This window comes from Homo sapiens, chromosome 14, assembly GCF_000001405.40.
Source record: "Homo sapiens chromosome 14, GRCh38.p14 Primary Assembly".
In the NCBI taxonomy this organism is placed as follows: Eukaryota; Metazoa; Chordata; class Mammalia; order Primates; family Hominidae; genus Homo; species Homo sapiens.
This window is the reverse complement of record NC_000014.9, coordinates 64787443-64806813: the sequence shown is the minus strand read 5'-3', so window position 1 is coordinate 64806813 and position 19371 is coordinate 64787443. Positions and strand designations below refer to the sequence as shown.

The 19371-nt window shown below is 50.2% G+C and overlaps 1 protein-coding gene across 8 annotated transcripts in view; it reads left to right on the top strand.

Moving 5' to 3' along the window:
- SPTB (spectrin beta, erythrocytic) overlaps nt 1–19371 on the top strand; it is a 133625-nt gene that overhangs the window by 73094 nt on the left and 41160 nt on the right. For all 8 annotated transcript variants that reach the window (NM_001355436.2, XM_017021612.3, XM_047431724.1 and 5 more), the window contains 13 exons: nt 1724–1875; nt 3034–3207; nt 4497–4588; nt 4980–5060; nt 5414–5529; nt 5946–6058; nt 6880–7067; nt 8968–9085; nt 10099–10257; nt 11175–11477; nt 12197–12347; nt 12947–13817; nt 14958–15095. In NM_001355436.2, coding sequence (NP_001342365.1) covers nt 1724–1875; nt 3034–3207; nt 4497–4588; nt 4980–5060; nt 5414–5529; nt 5946–6058; nt 6880–7067; nt 8968–9085; nt 10099–10257; nt 11175–11477; nt 12197–12347; nt 12947–13817; nt 14958–15095 — 2656 coding nt within the window. The remainder of the gene's footprint in view (nt 1–1723; nt 1876–3033; nt 3208–4496; nt 4589–4979; nt 5061–5413; nt 5530–5945; nt 6059–6879; nt 7068–8967; nt 9086–10098; nt 10258–11174; nt 11478–12196; nt 12348–12946; nt 13818–14957; nt 15096–19371) is intronic.

Below are 19371 nucleotides of genomic sequence, written 5' to 3'. Positions count from 1 at the left end.
CTTCATTCTTCATGTATGACTCAAGCCCTCGTCATATTTATAATAGAGTCTGTCTGCCTCAAGGATAGGGACCATCAGTCTTGTCCTTGAGTTCCCCACCACCACCCAGGGCCTGGCACCTGACGGTTGTACGGTAAATATTTGCTCAATGAGTGCACAGAAGAATCAAGGGTCTGAGTTCCTAATACCAAAATAGCCATGAAGCCGGAAGGCATCTGATGCAGCAAGCCTCAGGAACTGCCAGGATTCTACCCTTGAGGCAGAACTGGCTAAGCTCCTCTTTTTGTTATTGTTGAATCAAGATATTTAATAATTTAAAAAGCCAGCCCTTTCACGGTTGAGGCTCAGTCGAGCACACAGCCTGCTCCGACCGGGCAGACCCCGCTCCTGGCTAGGCCACTCCAGGTATGTCCTGGCTGTGATCTCCCCCTCCACTGCCATGTACCCTCCCCAGGGATCCTCCACAACCCTCAGGCCCAGCCTCACTGCCAAGTCACCTCCTTCCCTGAATCTTCAAACCTAAGTGCCCAGAAGCTAATTGCCACCAAACTGTTCATAAATCCAGAGAGGGCTCACTCCTCTCTTCTCACCTTCAATTCTATCTTATTTGTTTTTCTTCTTTTCTGCTACTTTTCTTTTTTTCTCCTTCTCCCCTCCTCTATCCTTTTCTCTCTCTTTTTTTTGTGCCATCCCAGTCTTCTGTCCTCTCTCCAGCATCTTGTCTGAGCTTCCCCAGGTAATGCTGGTGCCTAACTTGGACAGACCACCAGCATTATTTGTACAGAGGCAGTAAGAAGTACCCCACCTGAACTGGTACAGCATGGGCCAGGGGCTTGGACTGGGCTGATGCTGATTTAGGATAGGGGTGTCATGTCACCTTCCCAGGGCTGAGAAAGATAGCGTAAAGCCGCAGACAGCCCTCAGCCCAAACCTTCATTATCCTTACCCCCACATGAGTCATACATTCTACATATCCTGTTCCCTTGCTCATCATTTTCCTCCCCCTATCAGGAACTCCTTGAGGGCAGGAAATTTGTTTTACCTCTGTGTGTCCTCAGGCCTAGCACAGCGCTGCCACATAATAGGAACAGAATCAATGTTTGTACAGACAGCCACAATACAGCTATGGAGTACTGATGGTGCACCAGGCTCCAGGCCCTGGAGACAGAGAAGTGACCAAGACAGATTTCCCTGGGCTCAGGGAGCATCTAGGAGAGAGAAGGAAACGTAAATGCAGGGAGCAGGGCACATGAAGGGAGACCCAACCCAAGCGCCATTTATACTGGCTCTTAAAGGATGAATTAGTGTTAAGTGAAGGAGGTGGGGTAGAGTGGAGGGGTTGAGAGACAGCATTCTAGGCAGAGCGAATATTTGATGGGTTGATGGGTAAGCCTGGCACTGAAATCTGAATTCAATGGCACAACAGTACAGAGTAGTCTGACTGATACAGGGAAACAGATGCTGAATTAGAGGTGTCCTGATACTGTGCATAGAATATGGTGGCAGTGCGAGTGATCTCCTTATTGCCTCTGTTCTGGTGGCATGTGGACCGGTATTGCTACACCTTGATGGCAAATGCTCCAAGGAAGGGAGTGGAATGAATACATCGACTTCCTCTGCCAAGCATGGGGGTACCCTGGGCTTAAGGTAAAACCCCTTGGCCCCATGTCACACTGACCCTGCCAACCTCAGGCACCTCACCAAGGTTCTTCTCTCCACCTAGATGAGCGGGAAGTTGTTCAGAAAAAGACCTTCACGAAATGGGTGAACTCGCACCTGGCTCGAGTGTCCTGCCGCATCACCGATCTCTACAAGGACCTGCGGGATGGGCGCATGCTCATCAAGCTGCTGGAGGTGCTCTCTGGAGAGATGCTGGTAAAGTCCCTTCTGTGGGCCCCGGGGCTGCTGCCATCGGCCCCTCTTCAGCAAAGGCATGGTTTGGGGGCATCTCAAGTTCTCCTGGCCTTCCCAGTTTTCTCTCTGCTCCTTTGGGAGGCTCTAATACTTAGAATGGGAAGCATCCGTGTGGCTGACTGGTCTCTCTGAATTCCTCCCAGAACTTCTTGCCTCCTCTGACCACTCCCACCCCTTCATGCTTCTCCCAGAAGCCATGCAGAGCTCCTGACTTTGGGCTCTGGGCATCTGTAGCTGGCCTGTGATGGCCTGGCCCTCATCTCCCCATCGGGCTAAGATGCATCCCTCTTGGAACCAAGAGGAAAGTGTGGAAGCCATTTTACTGTGTGTTTTACCACCCTTGCAAGTGGAAATTTATTAGAGGCTGTCTCAGTTGTAACCCACCGGCAATACTGTTGACCCCAAAGAAGAAGTAGATGAAGGTTTATGTTTTGCTCAGCCCAGAGTAAGCTTTGTGTCCTTGGGCCTATCAGGCAGGACCCTCTTTTCCTCCATTTCCCCCATGTGTAAAATGAGGGCAATGATACCTGTACCTGATGAAGTTATTCTGAGATCCTCAGAGTTTGAATGAAAAGGCTTGAATGAAATATTGCCTTTTCAACTCCATGCTGAAGTTCTGCCTCTCACCCTGCATTGAAATTCCACTAGAGAGAGTTACCCATGGGGAACCCATCAGATGATGCAGTTATCACTGGGGGAGAGGAGAAGGTTGATTGGCAGGGATGAACCCATTATCAATCACCAAGCTAAAAATTACTCTTAACACTGGCTGGCAGTAAACAGTTCTTAGAACTGTGCCTGGCACATGGTAAGGGATCAATTAACCATATGTTATGTTACCGTAAGCAAATGCCGTTTATTGCCCACTCAGAGGGCTTTGTTCAGCCCCAGAAGGGCACCGATGCAGCCTGGTTACCGATCTCTGGGTGCTTGTTGGAGGGAACCTCTGAGCTTTGCTAAAAGGAAAGCATTGAATAGTGTCAATGAATGACCATGGGACTTGGTGTTTGGCCAAGAGGGTGGAGGGTGGGTGCTTATGACAGGAGCTGGTCCACGCTGCAGCCTCTGGGATGACTGTGCAGTCCCTCCATGCCCACGGGGGCCACTGCTGTCCCCCAGCCAAAGCCCACCAAGGGGAAGATGCGCATCCACTGCCTGGAGAATGTGGACAAGGCTCTCCAGTTCCTCAAGGAGCAGCGTGTACACCTGGAGAACATGGGCTCCCACGACATTGTAGATGGCAACCACCGCCTGGTCCTGGGCCTCATCTGGACCATCATCCTCCGCTTCCAGGTGGGTTCCTGGGGGGTAGAGGAAGTCGAGGGAGCCCTCAAGGCTGCCCAGGGCCTTAGAATCTTATAAAATGCTGAACAGAGTGTGGGTGTTAGTGCACATTCTGGGAAGGCTGTAAATCTGCCACATGGGACAGTGCTTGTAGGAAGGAGTAACCATCTTCTGTATCACCCCAAGTCACTGAAGCTCAGGGGGAGCTGCTCACTCAGTAGTATGGTCTTTTCAGGGAGAAGATAGAAATTAATTGGTAGCTGGGTTGATATCTGGCTGGAAGATTAGCTTTTTAGCCTCCTCCCCCTATACATGTAACTTCTTGGTTTTTGAAATAGATACAGAAAATTGCAAAAATTGTGTAGAAGATCTGTGTGTATATTTTCCAATCAGAAACTTTTCTCTTCTCACCCTGAAATTCAAAGTCCAGATTATTTGTAAGGAAATTTAGAAAGGGGAAGGGGAGGAAAACAGGGTCTTGCACCTGCTGGTTTGGGGACAGAAAGAACCTTGCCCAAGGAGGTGAGGGCAGGAGAAAGAAGAGAGCATACAACTCGCGGACTAAAGACCTCAACCAAGTGGCCCCGCATGTCCGATCTCACTCTCCATGGGTGCATAACATTGAACAACAATAGCAGCAGAGTTGGGGAGAATGGAAAGGCAAGAGGAGCTGCTAATGAAAGTATAGTACTCATCAGCATTCATGTTGTTCCACAGCCTCAAGGGGCATTGCACCTCCAGAGGAGGAATCAGGGCATCTTGTCACTGATTCTCTGCATTCTATTAGAGTTATCCAATTACAGCTGTCTCATCCCTGTGCCATTTTGGCTGACTGAGGCAGGGAAGCAGGCTGCTGGGGCACAGGGCCTCAGGATGTGGTGTTGCTGCGGGGCTGGCGGCTACTCCTTGAGGGCAAGAAATTTGTTTTACCTCTGTGTGTCCTCAGGCCTAGCACAGCGCTGCCACATAATAGGAACAGAATCAATGTTTGTACAGACAGCCACAATACAGCTATGGAGTACTGATGGTGCACCAGGCTCCAGGCCCTGGAGACAGACAAGTGACCAAGACAGATTTCCCTGGGCTCAGGGAGCATCTAGGAGAGAGAAGGAAATGTAAATGCAGGGAGCAGGGCACATGAAGGGAGACCCAACCCAAGCGCCATTTATACTGGCTCTTAAAGGATGAATTAGTGTTAAGTGAAGGGGGGATGAGGGAGGGAGCCTCCCAGGGACGGCAGGAAAGCACAGATCCAGATGCACATCCTCTTCAAATCTCTCTTGTTCTGCTACCCTCAGATTCAGGACATTGTGGTCCAAACTCAGGAAGGTCGTGAAACACGCTCAGCCAAGGATGCGTTGCTGTTGTGGTGTCAGATGAAGACGGCAGGGTATGCCCTGGGAACCAGCTGTTAGCACATCCACCACCAGCCCCTTGCTCCGCACAAGCACTGCCATCTCCAGAGGGACATTAGACATCATCACCCAGAACTACAGCTGCCTCCCTGTAATTGATGCAAAGTCTGTCCTGACCTGATTCTTTGAGGCCTGGAATACAGGATTCTTTTCCAAAGTTGCCTGCAGGCAGACTGGGGGGTCTGTGTGGTGTTCACATCTGATGGGGGAGCCTCTGTGTGTGGTTAGCTGCTGCCCCCTCTTGGTGACCTGGCTCAAGAAAGGACAGTTCCATTTCTCTCCTGGTATATTGGCCCTCAATTTGTACACTTGTTTGGGACTACAAAAAATCTAATTCTTAGCTCTTACTGTTTCTCTTGGATGCAGCTACCCTCATGTTAATGTCACCAACTTTACCTCCAGCTGGAAGGATGGCTTGGCCTTTAATGCCCTGATACACAAGCACCGGTAAGAGGGAGGGGACAGCCGTGGGGACTGACTGAGACAGCCTCCCTGGGAATATTTGGACACATTGCACTTAACATGGAGTCACAGAAATGTGACCTCTGCTGTTCCTTCTCCTCTCCCCTTCAGCAGCCCATAGCACCTTCACTTTCCTTAAATCCCAGCATGCCTGCCGCCCACTTCCCTCATATGCCAAGGCTCACACCTGCCCCCTCTCCTCTGCTCCCATCTCCTCCTTTCACTCCTCCTGCCTGACCACCTCCCTGCCTCTGTACAATGTCTGCTTCATGCTAGGGCTGCCCTCCTGGTGGGGATGCTGTGGCTACTCCCTTTTCACAGTCCAGTTTTGTCCCCAGGCCCGACCTGATCGACTTTGATAAGCTGAAGGACTCCAATGCCCGGCACAACCTGGAGCACGCATTCAATGTGGCTGAGCGCCAGCTGGGCATCATCCCGCTCCTCGACCCCGAAGGTGAGCCACACCCACCCCTGCCAGCCTTTGCTGCAGCAGTGGGGGATGCACTCGCTGTGCTAGAGGAGCTCAGCCGCCAGGACTTCTGGAGGCCGGCCCAGGTGCTGGGCAAGCTGTGGGCACAGTGAGGGGCAGTGGCCAGGCCAGGCTCTGATCTGGGCCTGCTTCTCTGCTCCATGCTGGTTCCCATGCCTGCCTGGTCTGTTTGGAGATGGACTTTGGATCCTTCTTCTTTTCTTCTTTTGTAATGTGTGGTTCTAAAATGGATTTCATCACACTCTTCCATTCTTGCTCTGTTGGTTGTCACTTGCTGCCTGTAGTTGAACTTGATGCTGGAGGAATGGGGAATAAACCCTCTGAGCCTGACTTTCCCGACTTCCAGTTTGGTCCTGAGAGTACACCCTTTTCCCTAACAGATGTCTTTACGGAAAACCCTGATGAGAAATCCATCATCACCTATGTGGTGGCCTTTTACCACTACTTCTCCAAGATGAAGGTGCTGGCAGTGGAGGGCAAGCGTGTCGGCAAGGTACAAGCTGTTTTGGAACCAAAGTGTCACTCTTCCCCTGTTTGTCAGGTCCAGACAGAGTGGCCCTCTTTCCAACCAAAGAAAGGGTGAAGAGTACAGCTCACCCACCCCCCAACTTCCTCTAAAGCTGACCTTGGCAACATTGATGGCTCCTGAGCTGAATTCCAAAGCAGGTTGATGGTCTGTCCTGAAAGGTACCACAGCTGGCTGCTCTGTACCTGGCGAACACCTGGTCCACCTGAGACCCATGTCTCATGGACATCCCCACAGGAACCCTCCAGGCTTTTATGTGGTTTGTTTATTGTGATTGCAGACCTCTTAGGCACCCACAGTGTACCAGAAACTCACCCATTGGTATAGACCCTCATGCCAGATTCCTTCCCTCTGCTAGATCCTTAGCTCTTAGAGTATAGGTACCATTTCTCATTCATCTCTGTGCCTCATGTTTAGTAAAGACAATGGCTGGCAGCCTTTGACTCCTCATGAACATTTAAAAATAAACAAAACCCTGGCCCCCTAGTGGCTGGCATCCTGGCACAGCAAGCTTACCAATCTTCTCTAGCACTGGGGAGGGGAACTGCACCCAACCCTTAACAGGCCAGCTCGCTGCCGATTGGCAAGAGGAGGGCCTCACCCAATTCCAGTCTACTCCTTCTGCCCTACCAGCACACTTGGGCTCAGGGAACAAACCCAGCCTAGAGCACTCCAGGGCTTAGGAGGTGGGAGCCCCATTTCGTGGCACCTTGATTGTGGTCCTCATTGATATCCTCAGTGGTGGCATTGCCCTTCTGATGAGAATAAGTAAGAAGATGATTCCTTAGGTTATTGACCATGCCATTGAGACTGAGAAGATGATTGAAAAGTACAGCGGGCTAGCCTCGGACCTGCTCACCTGGATCGAGCAGACCATCACTGTCCTGAACAGCCGCAAGTTTGCCAACTCGCTGACGGGCGTCCAGCAGCAGCTGCAGGCCTTCAGCACCTACCGCACCGTGGAGAAGCCGCCCAAGTAAGGGCCCTGGCACATGGGAGGGTGGTCCTCAGTGGCTGGGAAACTGACCACCAAAAGGTAGAGCCAGGTTCTGGGCCTTATGAAGTGTGTCCACAAGGCACACCCTCAAGATTAGAGAGCTGTATGTGTGTCACCTGCCTTGTGCCCCTCTTCACCACTCTTCTCCCAAGCCATCAGCTTAGAGAAACCAGCATTGATGAGAAACCTCGACTCACGACCAAAGACAGTGGCTTCTCCCAGATATCCCTGAGGAGGAACAGGAGGGAAATCATAGGCTTCTGAGTCTCTTTGAAGAACCCAGGCTGGAAAGCTCCTCTCTGGTCTGCCACTGAGCTGTGGGCTTGTTTTCTGATGACCTCTGTGCTCTCAGCCCCTGAGCTCTCTGCATGGGGCCTTATGGATTGTCAAGTTCATCCTTCTTTTTCTCTCCCATCTGTCACTGCTCAGCAACAGACCACTTAGCCTGCTTCTCAGGACCTCTGCCCCACCCTAGTGTGTGCAGAGCCTGTGTGCATATGCTTACACACATGTGCATGCAAACAACCGTGCACACACATGCATACCTGCATACACATAACCATGCATACACACAACTGTGCACCCATGAACATGCATGCACACACAAACATACACACACAACCGTGCACTCATACACATACACCTAACTATACATGCATTTATGTGTGCACACATAACTATGCACCCATGCACATATATATGCACATACAACCACATGTACAAATGCACATACATATATACAACCATGCATGTGCACATGCACACACAAACATGCACACATACACACATACACACGGGGCATTCCAGCTTATCTGCCATTAGCTTGTCCAGATCCTCTGAAATAGGCTTCTAGCTCATTGATGGTACCTTCTGCTCTGCTCTTCCCCCCATCTCCCACACTCTGCATTCATGACTTTCAAATGGGGAAAGGTGAAATGCTGAGTCTAGGATATACTATAAACAAGTATCTGGTTTCTAGTCTGACAGTAACCCATTTCTGAAGCCCTAAATCCAATACAGTTAGCATCCTCTATGAGTCTACCAGTCACTGCACACAGAGGTGTTATCTCTTGGCTGTGTAGACAGTGCTTCACGGTCACAGTTCTCTTAAGTGCCTGTGAGCACTGAGATCCATTAGGCTGGGCTCAGGGTGGGGACCTTGCATATAGCTGATCCTTGACTGCCAGGTCAAGGATGCAGAAATGGGTGGACACTTAGGTACATGCAGAAATGTGGAAGTACCTGATACCTGGAGCCTGTACCCCATATGCTAGACACCGATCCTGCTGACAATTCTTGTCTCCTACACCTACAAGCCTCTCAGAGCCCAGCCTTTCCTGCCTTCTGGGAAGCATCTGGCCTGTAGGACTTGTCAGGAGATCTGGCTCATTAGGACCTGGGTGAAAGCTGTTTTCAGTGCAGGATGCTCTCCCACGGAATATGCTGCTTCTGGGGTTTTATTGACTCACTTAATAAGGAACTGACCAGAGAGCTAGTAAGAAGCCCTCATCACTTGCAGCACAGAGAAGGTTTTTTAAAATTTTTTTTGTATTGATCCGTACAACTTGATATTTACAGGAATTACCAGAATACCTCAGCTTCCCATGTAGAGGCAAATGATAAATGCTGTGGTGGCCATTGTGTTTTCTCTGGTTTATATTGTAAAGACCCAAACCCCTAATAGATCTCAGTTGGTGAAAAGGATAGATGTTTTAACAGGTAAGCAGACCTACAGATTCTCTTTAGTTTTTCTGTGTTTTTAAGGGAAATATGCTTTGCTATCTACGCTTCAAGATGCCACAGTTCCGTGTTGACTTTAGCAAAAAAATTTGGCCATGAGATCTTAACATCAGTCTTCCTACTTCTGTTTTCTTGACAGGTTTCAAGAGAAGGGGAATCTGGAAGTTCTACTTTTTACCATCCAGTCCCGGATGAGAGCCAACAATCAGAAAGTGTACACACCCCACGATGGGAAACTAGTGTCTGACATCAACAGGGTACCACAGCATTTTCCGTTATGCATTGACAGTAGATTGATTGAATTCCCGATAAGGACACAGTGAATGGTCATTGGACCAGATTAAACCAAGCCACTTTCTTTGATGTTATTAATCCACATGTTGACTATTTGGGGGAGTTATCGAACCTGGTTCTGAGGGGTCAGACTCTACTCCCCCACCCTCCTTCAATCCCCCTGTTCAGATGCCCTGCATCCCTGAGTCCTTTTTTTTTTTTTTTTTTTTTTTTTTTTTTTTTTTGGAGACAGGGTCTCACTCTGTCACCCAGGTGGTAGTGCATTGGCACAATCACAGCTCACTGCAGCCTCGTCCTCCTGGGCTCAAGTGATCCTCCCACCTCAGTCTCAGTAGCTGGGACTACAGGCATGCACCACCACACCTGGCTAAATGTTACATTTTTTATAGAGACAGAGTCTGGCAATGTTGCCTAGGCTGGTTTTGTACTGGGCTCAAACAATCCTCCCACCTTGGCCTCCCAAAGTGCTGAGATTACACGTGTGAGCCATCACACCCAGCCTCCGAGTCCATTTTTTTGGAGCCAGTTTTGTAGCCTATCCTCTGTAGAACCTTGAGTTTGTCTTTGAAGATGGAATATTAACTACTTATAACCAAAGGGAAATGCCTATGACATTTCAGAGGCTTGGAGGCTTACCACCACCTGGCAGTTCATATTGAACGGAGGTAGCCATTAGTCAATAAGAACTTACTGAGCATCCAGAGAGGTGAAAAACATTATTTTGGGCCAAGAGTCTGAGGCAGGTTTAGGGGAAGAGGGAAGTGAGACTCATGAGCAGTGCCCTCTGAATCTTTGATGGGCCCAGACATGAAAGCCAAAGGCTTTTATTGATCTTTAATCTGCTACCACGTCACCCAAGAGCATCAGGCTGTACCTTGATTCCAGAAATCACTCAGTGTTGGGTGAAAGGGGTGGAGCCCCCAAAGTGAGGCATTTCTCCTGTGCCCCAAGAATTCTCATTCCATCCTTTGTGCAGGCCTGGGAAAGCCTGGAGGAAGCTGAGTATCGGCGGGAGCTGGCCCTGAGAAATGAGCTCATTCGGCAGGAGAAGCTAGAGCAACTGGCCCGGCGCTTTGACCGGAAGGCCGCAATGAGAGAGACCTGGCTCAGTGAAAACCAGCGCCTCGTGGCCCAGGTAATGAGGGACATGCTTTGGGTGACAGGAGAGGGGACATTCTTCAGAGCCCCCAGCTCTTGGCTGGGCTGGAGTCCAAGCTGGCTTCTCACAGCCTCTCCTCGTGCCTTGCAGCACAGCTCCCCCGTGATCCAGTGGATCAAGATTTGCATCTGGGGAGGAGCTCTCCAGGATTTATTAAATCTCATTTTTAGGAAAGAGCCTTGGAGTCTAGAACTGGCCGCTGAAGTTGTCTTATGTGGGCCTGTAGTGTCAACTACAGCTGGGGTTTCAGTTGATGTTAAATTGTGGTTCTTGGGGGATATGGTAAAATCACAGACTGCACCTTGTCTGTGTCAGGCATGCCTTTTGGACTCTGGTCTCTGGTGCTGTGACATAATTCTAGCTAAGAATTGACCCCAGGGCTGATTCTTCATCAGAGCATCTGTTCCCTCTCACTTAAAGCTTGGAATCAAATTAGATTCTGTCCAGAAAGGGGGCAACAAGTATTCTGAGAGCACTGGAGAGTGTATGCGCACCCCAGATAGCATGTGAATAAACCATCTGTTTGCTGGTGCATGGGTTTCCGAGTGAGAAGCAGCCCCTTCCTGCCCCAAATCCAACAGGTCCACTCGAGGCATGTGGGGAGTGCCAGCAGGCTGCCAAGGGGCTCCATTAGTAACACGCAGGCTGCATCTCCCACGCGGGTGGCACGGGGAGTAAAATCATGAACTTCTCTTAGAGTCTCTTGTGAGACATTAATTTTTGGAACTTGGGTCTGATAAGACAGGCTGCAAAAGTAAGGCAGAACTAGCTGCTTCTTGGGAATGTGCTTTCCCATCTAGCACTGGTTCTGAAGGGAGCTGCCCTGTCCCTGAGTTTGGGGATGAGCCCCTGGGTGTCTGACTGAGCTGCCTGTTTTTCTCCCGGTGGGGCAGGATAACTTTGGGTATGACCTGGCAGCTGTGGAGGCCGCCAAGAAGAAGCATGAGGCCATCGAGACCGACACGGCTGCCTACGAGGAGCGGGTGAGAGCCCTGGAGGACCTGGCTCAGGAGCTGGAGAAAGAGAACTACCATGACCAGAAGCGCATCACGGCCCGCAAGGACAATATACTGCGCCTATGGAGCTACCTGCAGGAGCTGCTGCAGTCCCGGCGCCAGAGGCTCGAGACCACCCTGGCACTGCAGAAGCTCTTCCAGGACATGCTGCACAGCATCGACTGGATGGATGAGATCAAGGTGGGCCCTGGGGGCCGCCCCCGCCATGCCCTGCAGTGCTCACCTTGGGTCTCAGTGGCCCTGCAGTTAGCATAGGCTTCCTTAGACACCTCCCAGCCAGTCATATCTCTGAGTCAAAATAGAGAAACTGAGGCAGCAAAGTGTCTAGCTGCACCTGCCTCTCTGCCTCTTGGTCCACTCTGCTCCAGCAGGTGATACCAGCCCAGGTCCATGGTACCCTGGTGACCGAGAAATCTTGGGTTTGTGGCAGCACCGGTGCCAACCTTCAGGGCCTTGAAGAGACAGACATTAATCAGGAACCTGGAGAATCAAGCTCTTAGTAATTACAATTTGACTCTGGTTAGAATCCAGACCTCCCAGCATGAGGGCAACCTCTCCTCTCTCTCTGCCGCAGTGGGTCTCAGCTGAGGACACACATCAGACTGCCCCTGGAGCTTTGTGAAAATACACATGGCCAGGCCCCAACCCTGAGACCGATGCAGTAGATGAGTGTGGGGCTTGAGCATCTGTAAGATGTTCTATGGATGATGCTGATGGGCACCCCCAGTAGGCACTCTCCCTCTGGAGCTTCTTCCATCCTCAGCAGCAGCCCTTTTCTGGCTGCATTTGGCTCACCCTTGCTCAGATTACTAGAGACATGCCCTTTGCAGGGGTCTCTTCTCCTAATGTGTAGGTCTCTTCACTTCTCCTCATTTCCTTTCTGCTGTTCTCTTTGCCAGGCTCACCTCTTGTCTGCCGAGTTTGGGAAGCACTTGTTGGAGGTTGAAGACCTGCTACAGAAGCACAAGTTGATGGAAGCTGACATCGCCATCCAAGGGGACAAAGTGAAGGCCATCACCGCAGCCACCCTGAAGTTCACCGAGGGGAAAGGTGAGACCAAGTCTGTCTCCCCTTTTGAGGCTTCCAATGCCAGAGCCTCACCTCTGGCCTAACAACCCAACTTGGATAAATCTCCTGGAACCAACTTTAAAGTTCTGTTACTTTCATCAAGTAATGGTCCAAGAAAGAAGCTTGAGGGACCAGCCAAATTCTCTAGAGAGCAGGCAACTGCTTCGGTAACCTATAATCACCAAGGAGGCACCCTCTGTCCTTCATTCTCCTTGCTAGTTCAAGTTATGGCTGAGACAATTTAGGTTTCCAGATTCTTGTTTTAAATAAGAGACCTCACTGCATCTTTCAAGAATGACCTTGAAATTTTTTTAATTAATTTAAAAATAATTTTATGTTGTACATTTCTATTAAGAACTAACCCCACTTTTTATCTTCCTTAACCCTGAAGTTCAGTGGGAAATAATTATAAAGAATCTGTCCACCCTCTGAGCAACTGGGACCCCCCTGCATCCAACCCCAAAGCCCCAGTGACATGGCAGCTTCAGGGTTGTGTAGTTCCAACCTAGCAGCTTATCTGAAGCGTGCCCATAAATGAAGCCCATCCCCCACTTTGTCCTCCTTCCCCCTATTTCTTCCAGGGTACCAGCCTTGTGACCCCCAGGTCATCCAGGACCGCATCAGCCACTTGGAGCAGTGCTTTGAGGAGCTGAGCAACATGGCAGCTGGGCGGAAGGCCCAACTGGAGCAGTCCAAACGACTCTGGAAGTTCTTCTGGGAGATGGATGAGGCTGAGAGCTGGATCAAGGAGAAGGAGCAGATCTATTCTTCCCTGGACTATGGCAAAGACCTGACCAGTGTGCTCATCTTACAGCGCAAGCACAAGGCCTTTGAGGATGAGCTCCGTGGGCTGGATGCTCACCTGGAGCAGATCTTCCAGGAGGCTCATGGCATGGTTGCGCGCAAGCAGTTTGGGCACCCGCAGATCGAGGCCCGCATAAAGGAGGTGTCGGCACAGTGGGACCAGCTGAAGGACCTGGCTGCCTTCTGCAAGAAGAACCTCCAGGATGCTGAGAACTTTTTCCAGTTCCAGGGCGATGCGGATGACCTGAAGGCTTGGCTGCAAGACGCCCACCGGCTGCTCTCTGGTGAAGATGTGGGGCAGGACGAAGGGGCCACGCGGGCCCTGGGGAAAAAGCACAAGGACTTCCTGGAGGAGCTGGAGGAGAGCCGTGGGGTGATGGAGCACCTGGAGCAGCAGGCCCAGGGATTCCCCGAAGAGTTTCGGGATTCCCCAGATGTGACCCATCGGCTGCAGGCCCTGCGGGAGCTCTACCAACAGGTGGTGGCCCAGGCGGACCTGCGTCAGCAGAGGCTGCAGGAAGCCCTGGACCTGTACACGGTGTTCGGGGAGACAGACGCCTGTGAGCTGTGGATGGGAGAGAAGGAGAAGTGGCTGGCCGAGATGGAAATGCCAGACACCCTGGAGGACCTGGAGGTCGTGCAGCACAGGTCAGAGTTAACTCATCTTTTCCTCACGTCCCTGTACCCAGGCCTGGGCACCATCTCCCACCTAGTTTGGTAATAGTCTCTGGATCAGCAAAGGTCTCTTTGAGAGGCCCTGGGATGTCCTTTGTTGCAAAGTCCTGGCATTAGGAGTCATAAGTTCTATTCTGGCTCTGTGGCCTGGGGTACTTCACCCTTTGGGGCCTTGTGTTCCTCAAACAAAGGGAATTTATCTAGTCCAGTTATTCAATTACTTTTCAGCAATAGCAGTCTTTGCTCAGATGAATTGTGTATGGAACCCCCAGGTCACACAGAGGAAAAATGGAGCTACTCTGGAGAAGGAGGTTGAGAGGCCAGGACCCTGCCAGCTCTAGCTTTCTGTGGCAGTCCTTAAGCCAGGAGACTCTGAGGGGCCACAGAGAGAATTTGCAAACCCCCTGTCTGCAAGGCCACTCTCACCCCTGGTGTTCTGATTTTGTCAGCACCCCAGATGATGAGGCATGCCCCAGTCTGTGCAGCATCTCAGCAGCTGAAGCACAGAATTCAGGCAGTCAGGAGAAGGAGAGGCCGCTCTCTGGAACAGTGCCAAGGTGGTGCTGCACTGATGCTGGAGAGTCCTGGGCTCTTACCCTAGAAGGATCGGCCTTCAGAACCACAAATTCCCCCCGACCACCGCCCCAGCAGCTTTTCCTTATCTTACCCAGGAATGGAGCACCTGGCTGGAAAGGGTATCTTTTGGGTTAAGATGTCAAGGCATTGGACTCAGAGTCCAAAAGCAACAGCCGGAAAAGCAGAGGCCTGGAAGGTGGCCCTTGTGACAATTGACATCCCCCACACAAATACACAGTAACCTCTCTTCAGCCCTCCCTCCCCTTCATATGTCTCTCTTGAGCCAGAAGCCCGTGTAGGAAGTAACTGGCTCTCTCCCGGCCTGTTCCAGGCAATGCTAACTCATGAAATCAAACCCATGAACCAGAAAGGAGGGCCAGCATATCTGTTTTCTTCCTCCTGCCTCACCTGGGCAAATGGTTTAGGCAGTGGAAGGAGAAAGCAAGAGCTACATGTTCTGGAGACTGGGGGTGCCACTGGCAAGGAAATGTCTGCTGCCGCCTCACCCATCCTCATATTTTCCTTTGCCCATATCAGGTTCGACATCCTGGACCAGGAGATGAAGACCTTGATGACTCAGATTGATGGTGTGAACCTCGCTGCCAACAGCTTGGTAGAGAGTGGCCACCCACGCAGCAGGGAGGTGAAGCAGTACCAGGACCATCTGAACACCAGGTGGGGTGTGGGTAGGGCATGGGGCGGGGGCATTGTCTCTCAACATCTGACACACTGCTGGGGGCCGGGCCCAAAATTTAGTCCACCTAGTATGCACCAACACTTCTATACCCTCAACATTCCTGTCTTTTTTTTTTTTTTTTTTTTTTTTTTGACACAGAACCTCACTCTTTTACCCAGGCTGGAGTGCAGTGGTGCGATCTCGGCTCACTGCAACTTCCACCTCCTGGGTTCAAGCTATTCTTGTTCCTCAGCCTCCCAAGTAGCTGGGATTACAGGCGTGCGATACAATGCCTGGCTAGTTTTTGTATTTTTAGTAGAGATGTGGTTTCACCACGTTGGCCAGGCTGGTCTCATTCCTGGCCTCAAGCGATCTGCCCACCTCGGCCTCCCAAAGTGCTGGGATTACAGGCATAAGCCACCGCGCCCCCACCGACATTCCTGTCTGTCTCAGCCACAGTCCCCTTCCCAGTAGTACTGGAACTATAGCAGCAAGGAGGAATGATTGAGGTGGTGAACAGCCCAGGGAGGGAGAGAGACGAGTCCTGGGAGGCTCGAATGCTGTGCCTGGGGAGGGTGGGTGTGTATGTGTGATGGAGGGCACATCCCAAGTGTGCCCAAACTTAGAATCAGGCCATATGCTTCTCATGCTATATTTCCCTGGACATTCTTGGGCAGAGAAAATTGCTTTCTGAGAGCTCTTAAGTACTGTCCATAAAATAATGCTCCTGCCTCTGCCAAATGCAGTATCGATAATGAGGCTGGCTTGAAGGAAGAGGAGAATTAGCAGGGAGCCTTAAGCAAGCTTTGTGGCCAGAACAAAAAATAGGCCCCAAGGAGCCTTTAGAGAGGGGGTGCTTTCAGTGTGGGGTGAAATTGCCCATGAGTTCCTGGAGGATCTTTGAGGACACCGCAAATGCCTGCATTCCCTGTCTTTACCGTGGGCCCTGCACATGCAATGCCACATGTTCACCACCTCCCCATTACCCCAGCCCCTTCCCCACACCTGTGCCTGAGCGTTGCTCTGCCTGAGGCAATCTGGGAGGTGGGCCTAGGGAAGACTCCATTGTAAAGAAAGGGATCGGCACAGTGGAGAGTTCACTGGGGGGCTAAGGGGAGGCAGCGATGACCAGAATTCTTTAGAGCCACTAGAATGGGATGATTGTCTTAGCAGCCCAAGCTGCAGAGTGCGGTTTAGGAGATTCCTTTGTCAATCTGATGTTTTACAAAGGAAGAGAATACCTCTTCCCTCTTCTTTCGCCTTGTAGGTAATGAGTTTGTGTGTGTTGGTGGGCAGGAGGTGGTAGAGATTATTGCAATTGCTGCATAATTGAGGAAACTAGAGCAGGTCTAAACCAGAGAAACTTCCTGAGAGGAAGAACTCATCAGCTCAACAATAAACTATAGTCTGAGAATGTTGATCTTTACAGACCCCTAAAACAGGCCCCATCCCCAAGAGAAAAATATCAAGGTACCTGCCATCCTTAAGTGAGAAAAAAACCCGAGGCATGAAATTAAATTTGAGAGTTGAAAGGAACCTGAGAAGTCACCCAGTCTAGCCAGTGATGGGGAACTCACTCCCTCACCCGGCAGCCTATCTCATTTTTGGGCAATTCTTTTTGGTTAAAAAGTTTGCTCTTCCATTGAGTGGAAATCTGCCTCCTTGAAATGCGTACATATTGATTCTGGCTCTGCCCTTGAGAGATATCACACTTACCCTGGTTCCTCTTCCGTGTATAGCTCTTCAATTATTTTTCAGAACAATGCTCATTCTATACCTCCACCCCCAGTGTCGCCTCATGCCTCTGCGGTTCTTTCCCTCAGGGTGCATTCTCCCTCCCTCTACATATTCCAAATCCTGTCTCTGCATGAGCCAGTCCAAGTCGCTTGCTTTCCAGTTTTCCAGATGAAAAGCAATCTTTTCCTCCTTTGTACTGGTTTTGAGCTTCATATCCTATCTTACATTCTAATTATTTTTGTCCCCAAGGACTTTCCTGCTAGACTATGTAAACAAATGAAGACCTGTATCTATTTATATTGCCCAAGGGCTTTGCACACCTAATACATTTTTGGGGTTCCTGCTGTTTAGAGTATTATTTTCCTAGCTATGCCCTTGGCTTACTCTTTTTATTCAGGTCTCAGCTCAAATGTCAGCTTACTGGCATGGCCCCCGCTGACCGCCCCATGGAAAGCAGCACATCCTTCCTCTCACTGACCCACTTGGCCTCTATATTGTTACCTTCTTTTATTTTTTCTTTGCGCTTATCACCACTTGATGGATTATAGACTTGTTTATGTCTCTATCCACTTGAATGAAAGCAAGGACTTTGCATTACTCTTTATTAATTAATTAATTAATTTTTTATAGAGACAGAATCTCACTCCATTACCCAGGCTGGAGTGCAGTGGTACAATTTTGGCTCACTGCAGCCTCAGCCTCCCAGGCTCAAGTGATTCTCCCATCTCAGTCTCCTGTGTAGCTAATGCTACAGATGCACACTACTATACCCAGCTAATTTTTTGTTTTTTTTGTAGAGATGAGGTCTCACTATGTTTCTCAGGCTGGTCTTGAACTCCTGGGCTCAAGAGATCCTCCGGCCTCAGCCTCCCAAATTGCTGTGATTTACAGGTGTGAGCCACTGAGCCCAGCCTGCATAGTTCTTTGTCATATCCCTAGTGCCTAGGTCAGTGTCTGCCACAAGGCAACTGAGAGTTGCTTGATAAATGCTTAGTACATGAGTGAACTGGGAAAAAACTAAGGTTTTTCTGCCAAGCTTATGTGTGAGTCATTCAAACACTTGATGAATGTGTGATCATCTTTCACCGTATGCTTTCCAGTTGAAGAAAAACCTGGCCCAGGACCAAACCTAGACTCTTGATGTTGCCTGACCAGTGATAACTAGAGTGGCTCTATCAACCTCCTCCATCTCAAAGACAGTGCAGTGGAGGGGGCAAGTGTAGGTTTGGGAAGCAGACTAGACCCAAGCTCCAGTGCATCTTGGTGTGGCCTCCACCCAATGGCTACAGTGAGGCCACTCCAGGAAAGGCCTGGAAAATCACTATGGGGCCTCTTGCCTGGGGACACAGCCAGACCCTCTCCCAGGAACACTTCCCTGTCGATTCCAGGGCTTTCAAACAAACTTGGAGAAAACCCCTTGATTTCCTAGCCTCAGAGCACCATCTGTGTGCCAGACAGGCACGGAATTCCCAGAGCACGGGGTCTTCATGGTCTAGGATGGGAGCCGAGAAATCTGCAGGCTCTCTCTCCTCTCTCGTATCCCTGGTCTCTCCCAGCCTGTCTCTTATATCTCTCTGCAGACCTTTCAAATCATACTGGCTGCTGTTGTCACACCTTGGGAATGCACAACAGCGCTCTCTGTCCAGTCCATCTCCTAGTCCCTCAGCCTCCATCCCCTGAGGCAGGGTACAAAGATGAATGAGACACTTGGTCCCATCCTTTAATTGGTCACTCCAGTGGAGGCACTGGGGGTGTGTTCACTGACTGGGGCTTTGTGTCCAGTGATGGGTTGTGTGGAGGTCACGTGAGCAACTGTCACCCCATTGCTCCTTCCAGCTGCCTTAATCCTCCTCTCTGCCTGTTAGGTGCTGTGCACATGAAACTTTATGCTATGTTATTTGTGAGCTTGTCTGAATATTTCTCTAAATCATACACCCCACAGGGCATGGTCTGGTTATGTCTATATTCTCCCAAAGGCCAATAAAATGGCTTATACCCCTGTGGGTGTTCGAGAAAGATGGGTTCGATTAGAGAATGAGCATTCAGCCTGCATATTACAGTGATGCAGAATGAGTGAACCTAGGCCCAAGGGCAGTGTCCCTAGTGGTCTGGCCTGGCTGATGGGCAGCTCTTTGAAAGAGGCTTATCGTGTACTGCAGACTGACCCCAGGCCCCCAGGCATCCGCCAGACCTTAGCACATTTCCGTATTTCATAGCAACACTGCACTCGAAGGTTAAGATTATGCTAGTCACTTAAATTATCATCACAACTTATTCCTCCCCATTCTCTTCTTCCCTGTCCTCTTCTTCCTCTTCTTTTTCACCAGGGCATCTTTTCTCTTAGATCCAAGGTGATCTCTTTCAGGCCCTAGGAGACGTTGCATGTGGCCTTGGGCATTTACTTGGTTCCTCTAGGGCAGCTGGGGACCCTATGTCCTGAAGCATTCTTGAAGTTAATGTGAGCCTTTTAATTATTTTGATATTTCATAAACTCTGGGGAAATTGTATATTTGCCTGAACTCCAACTACATGCATAGA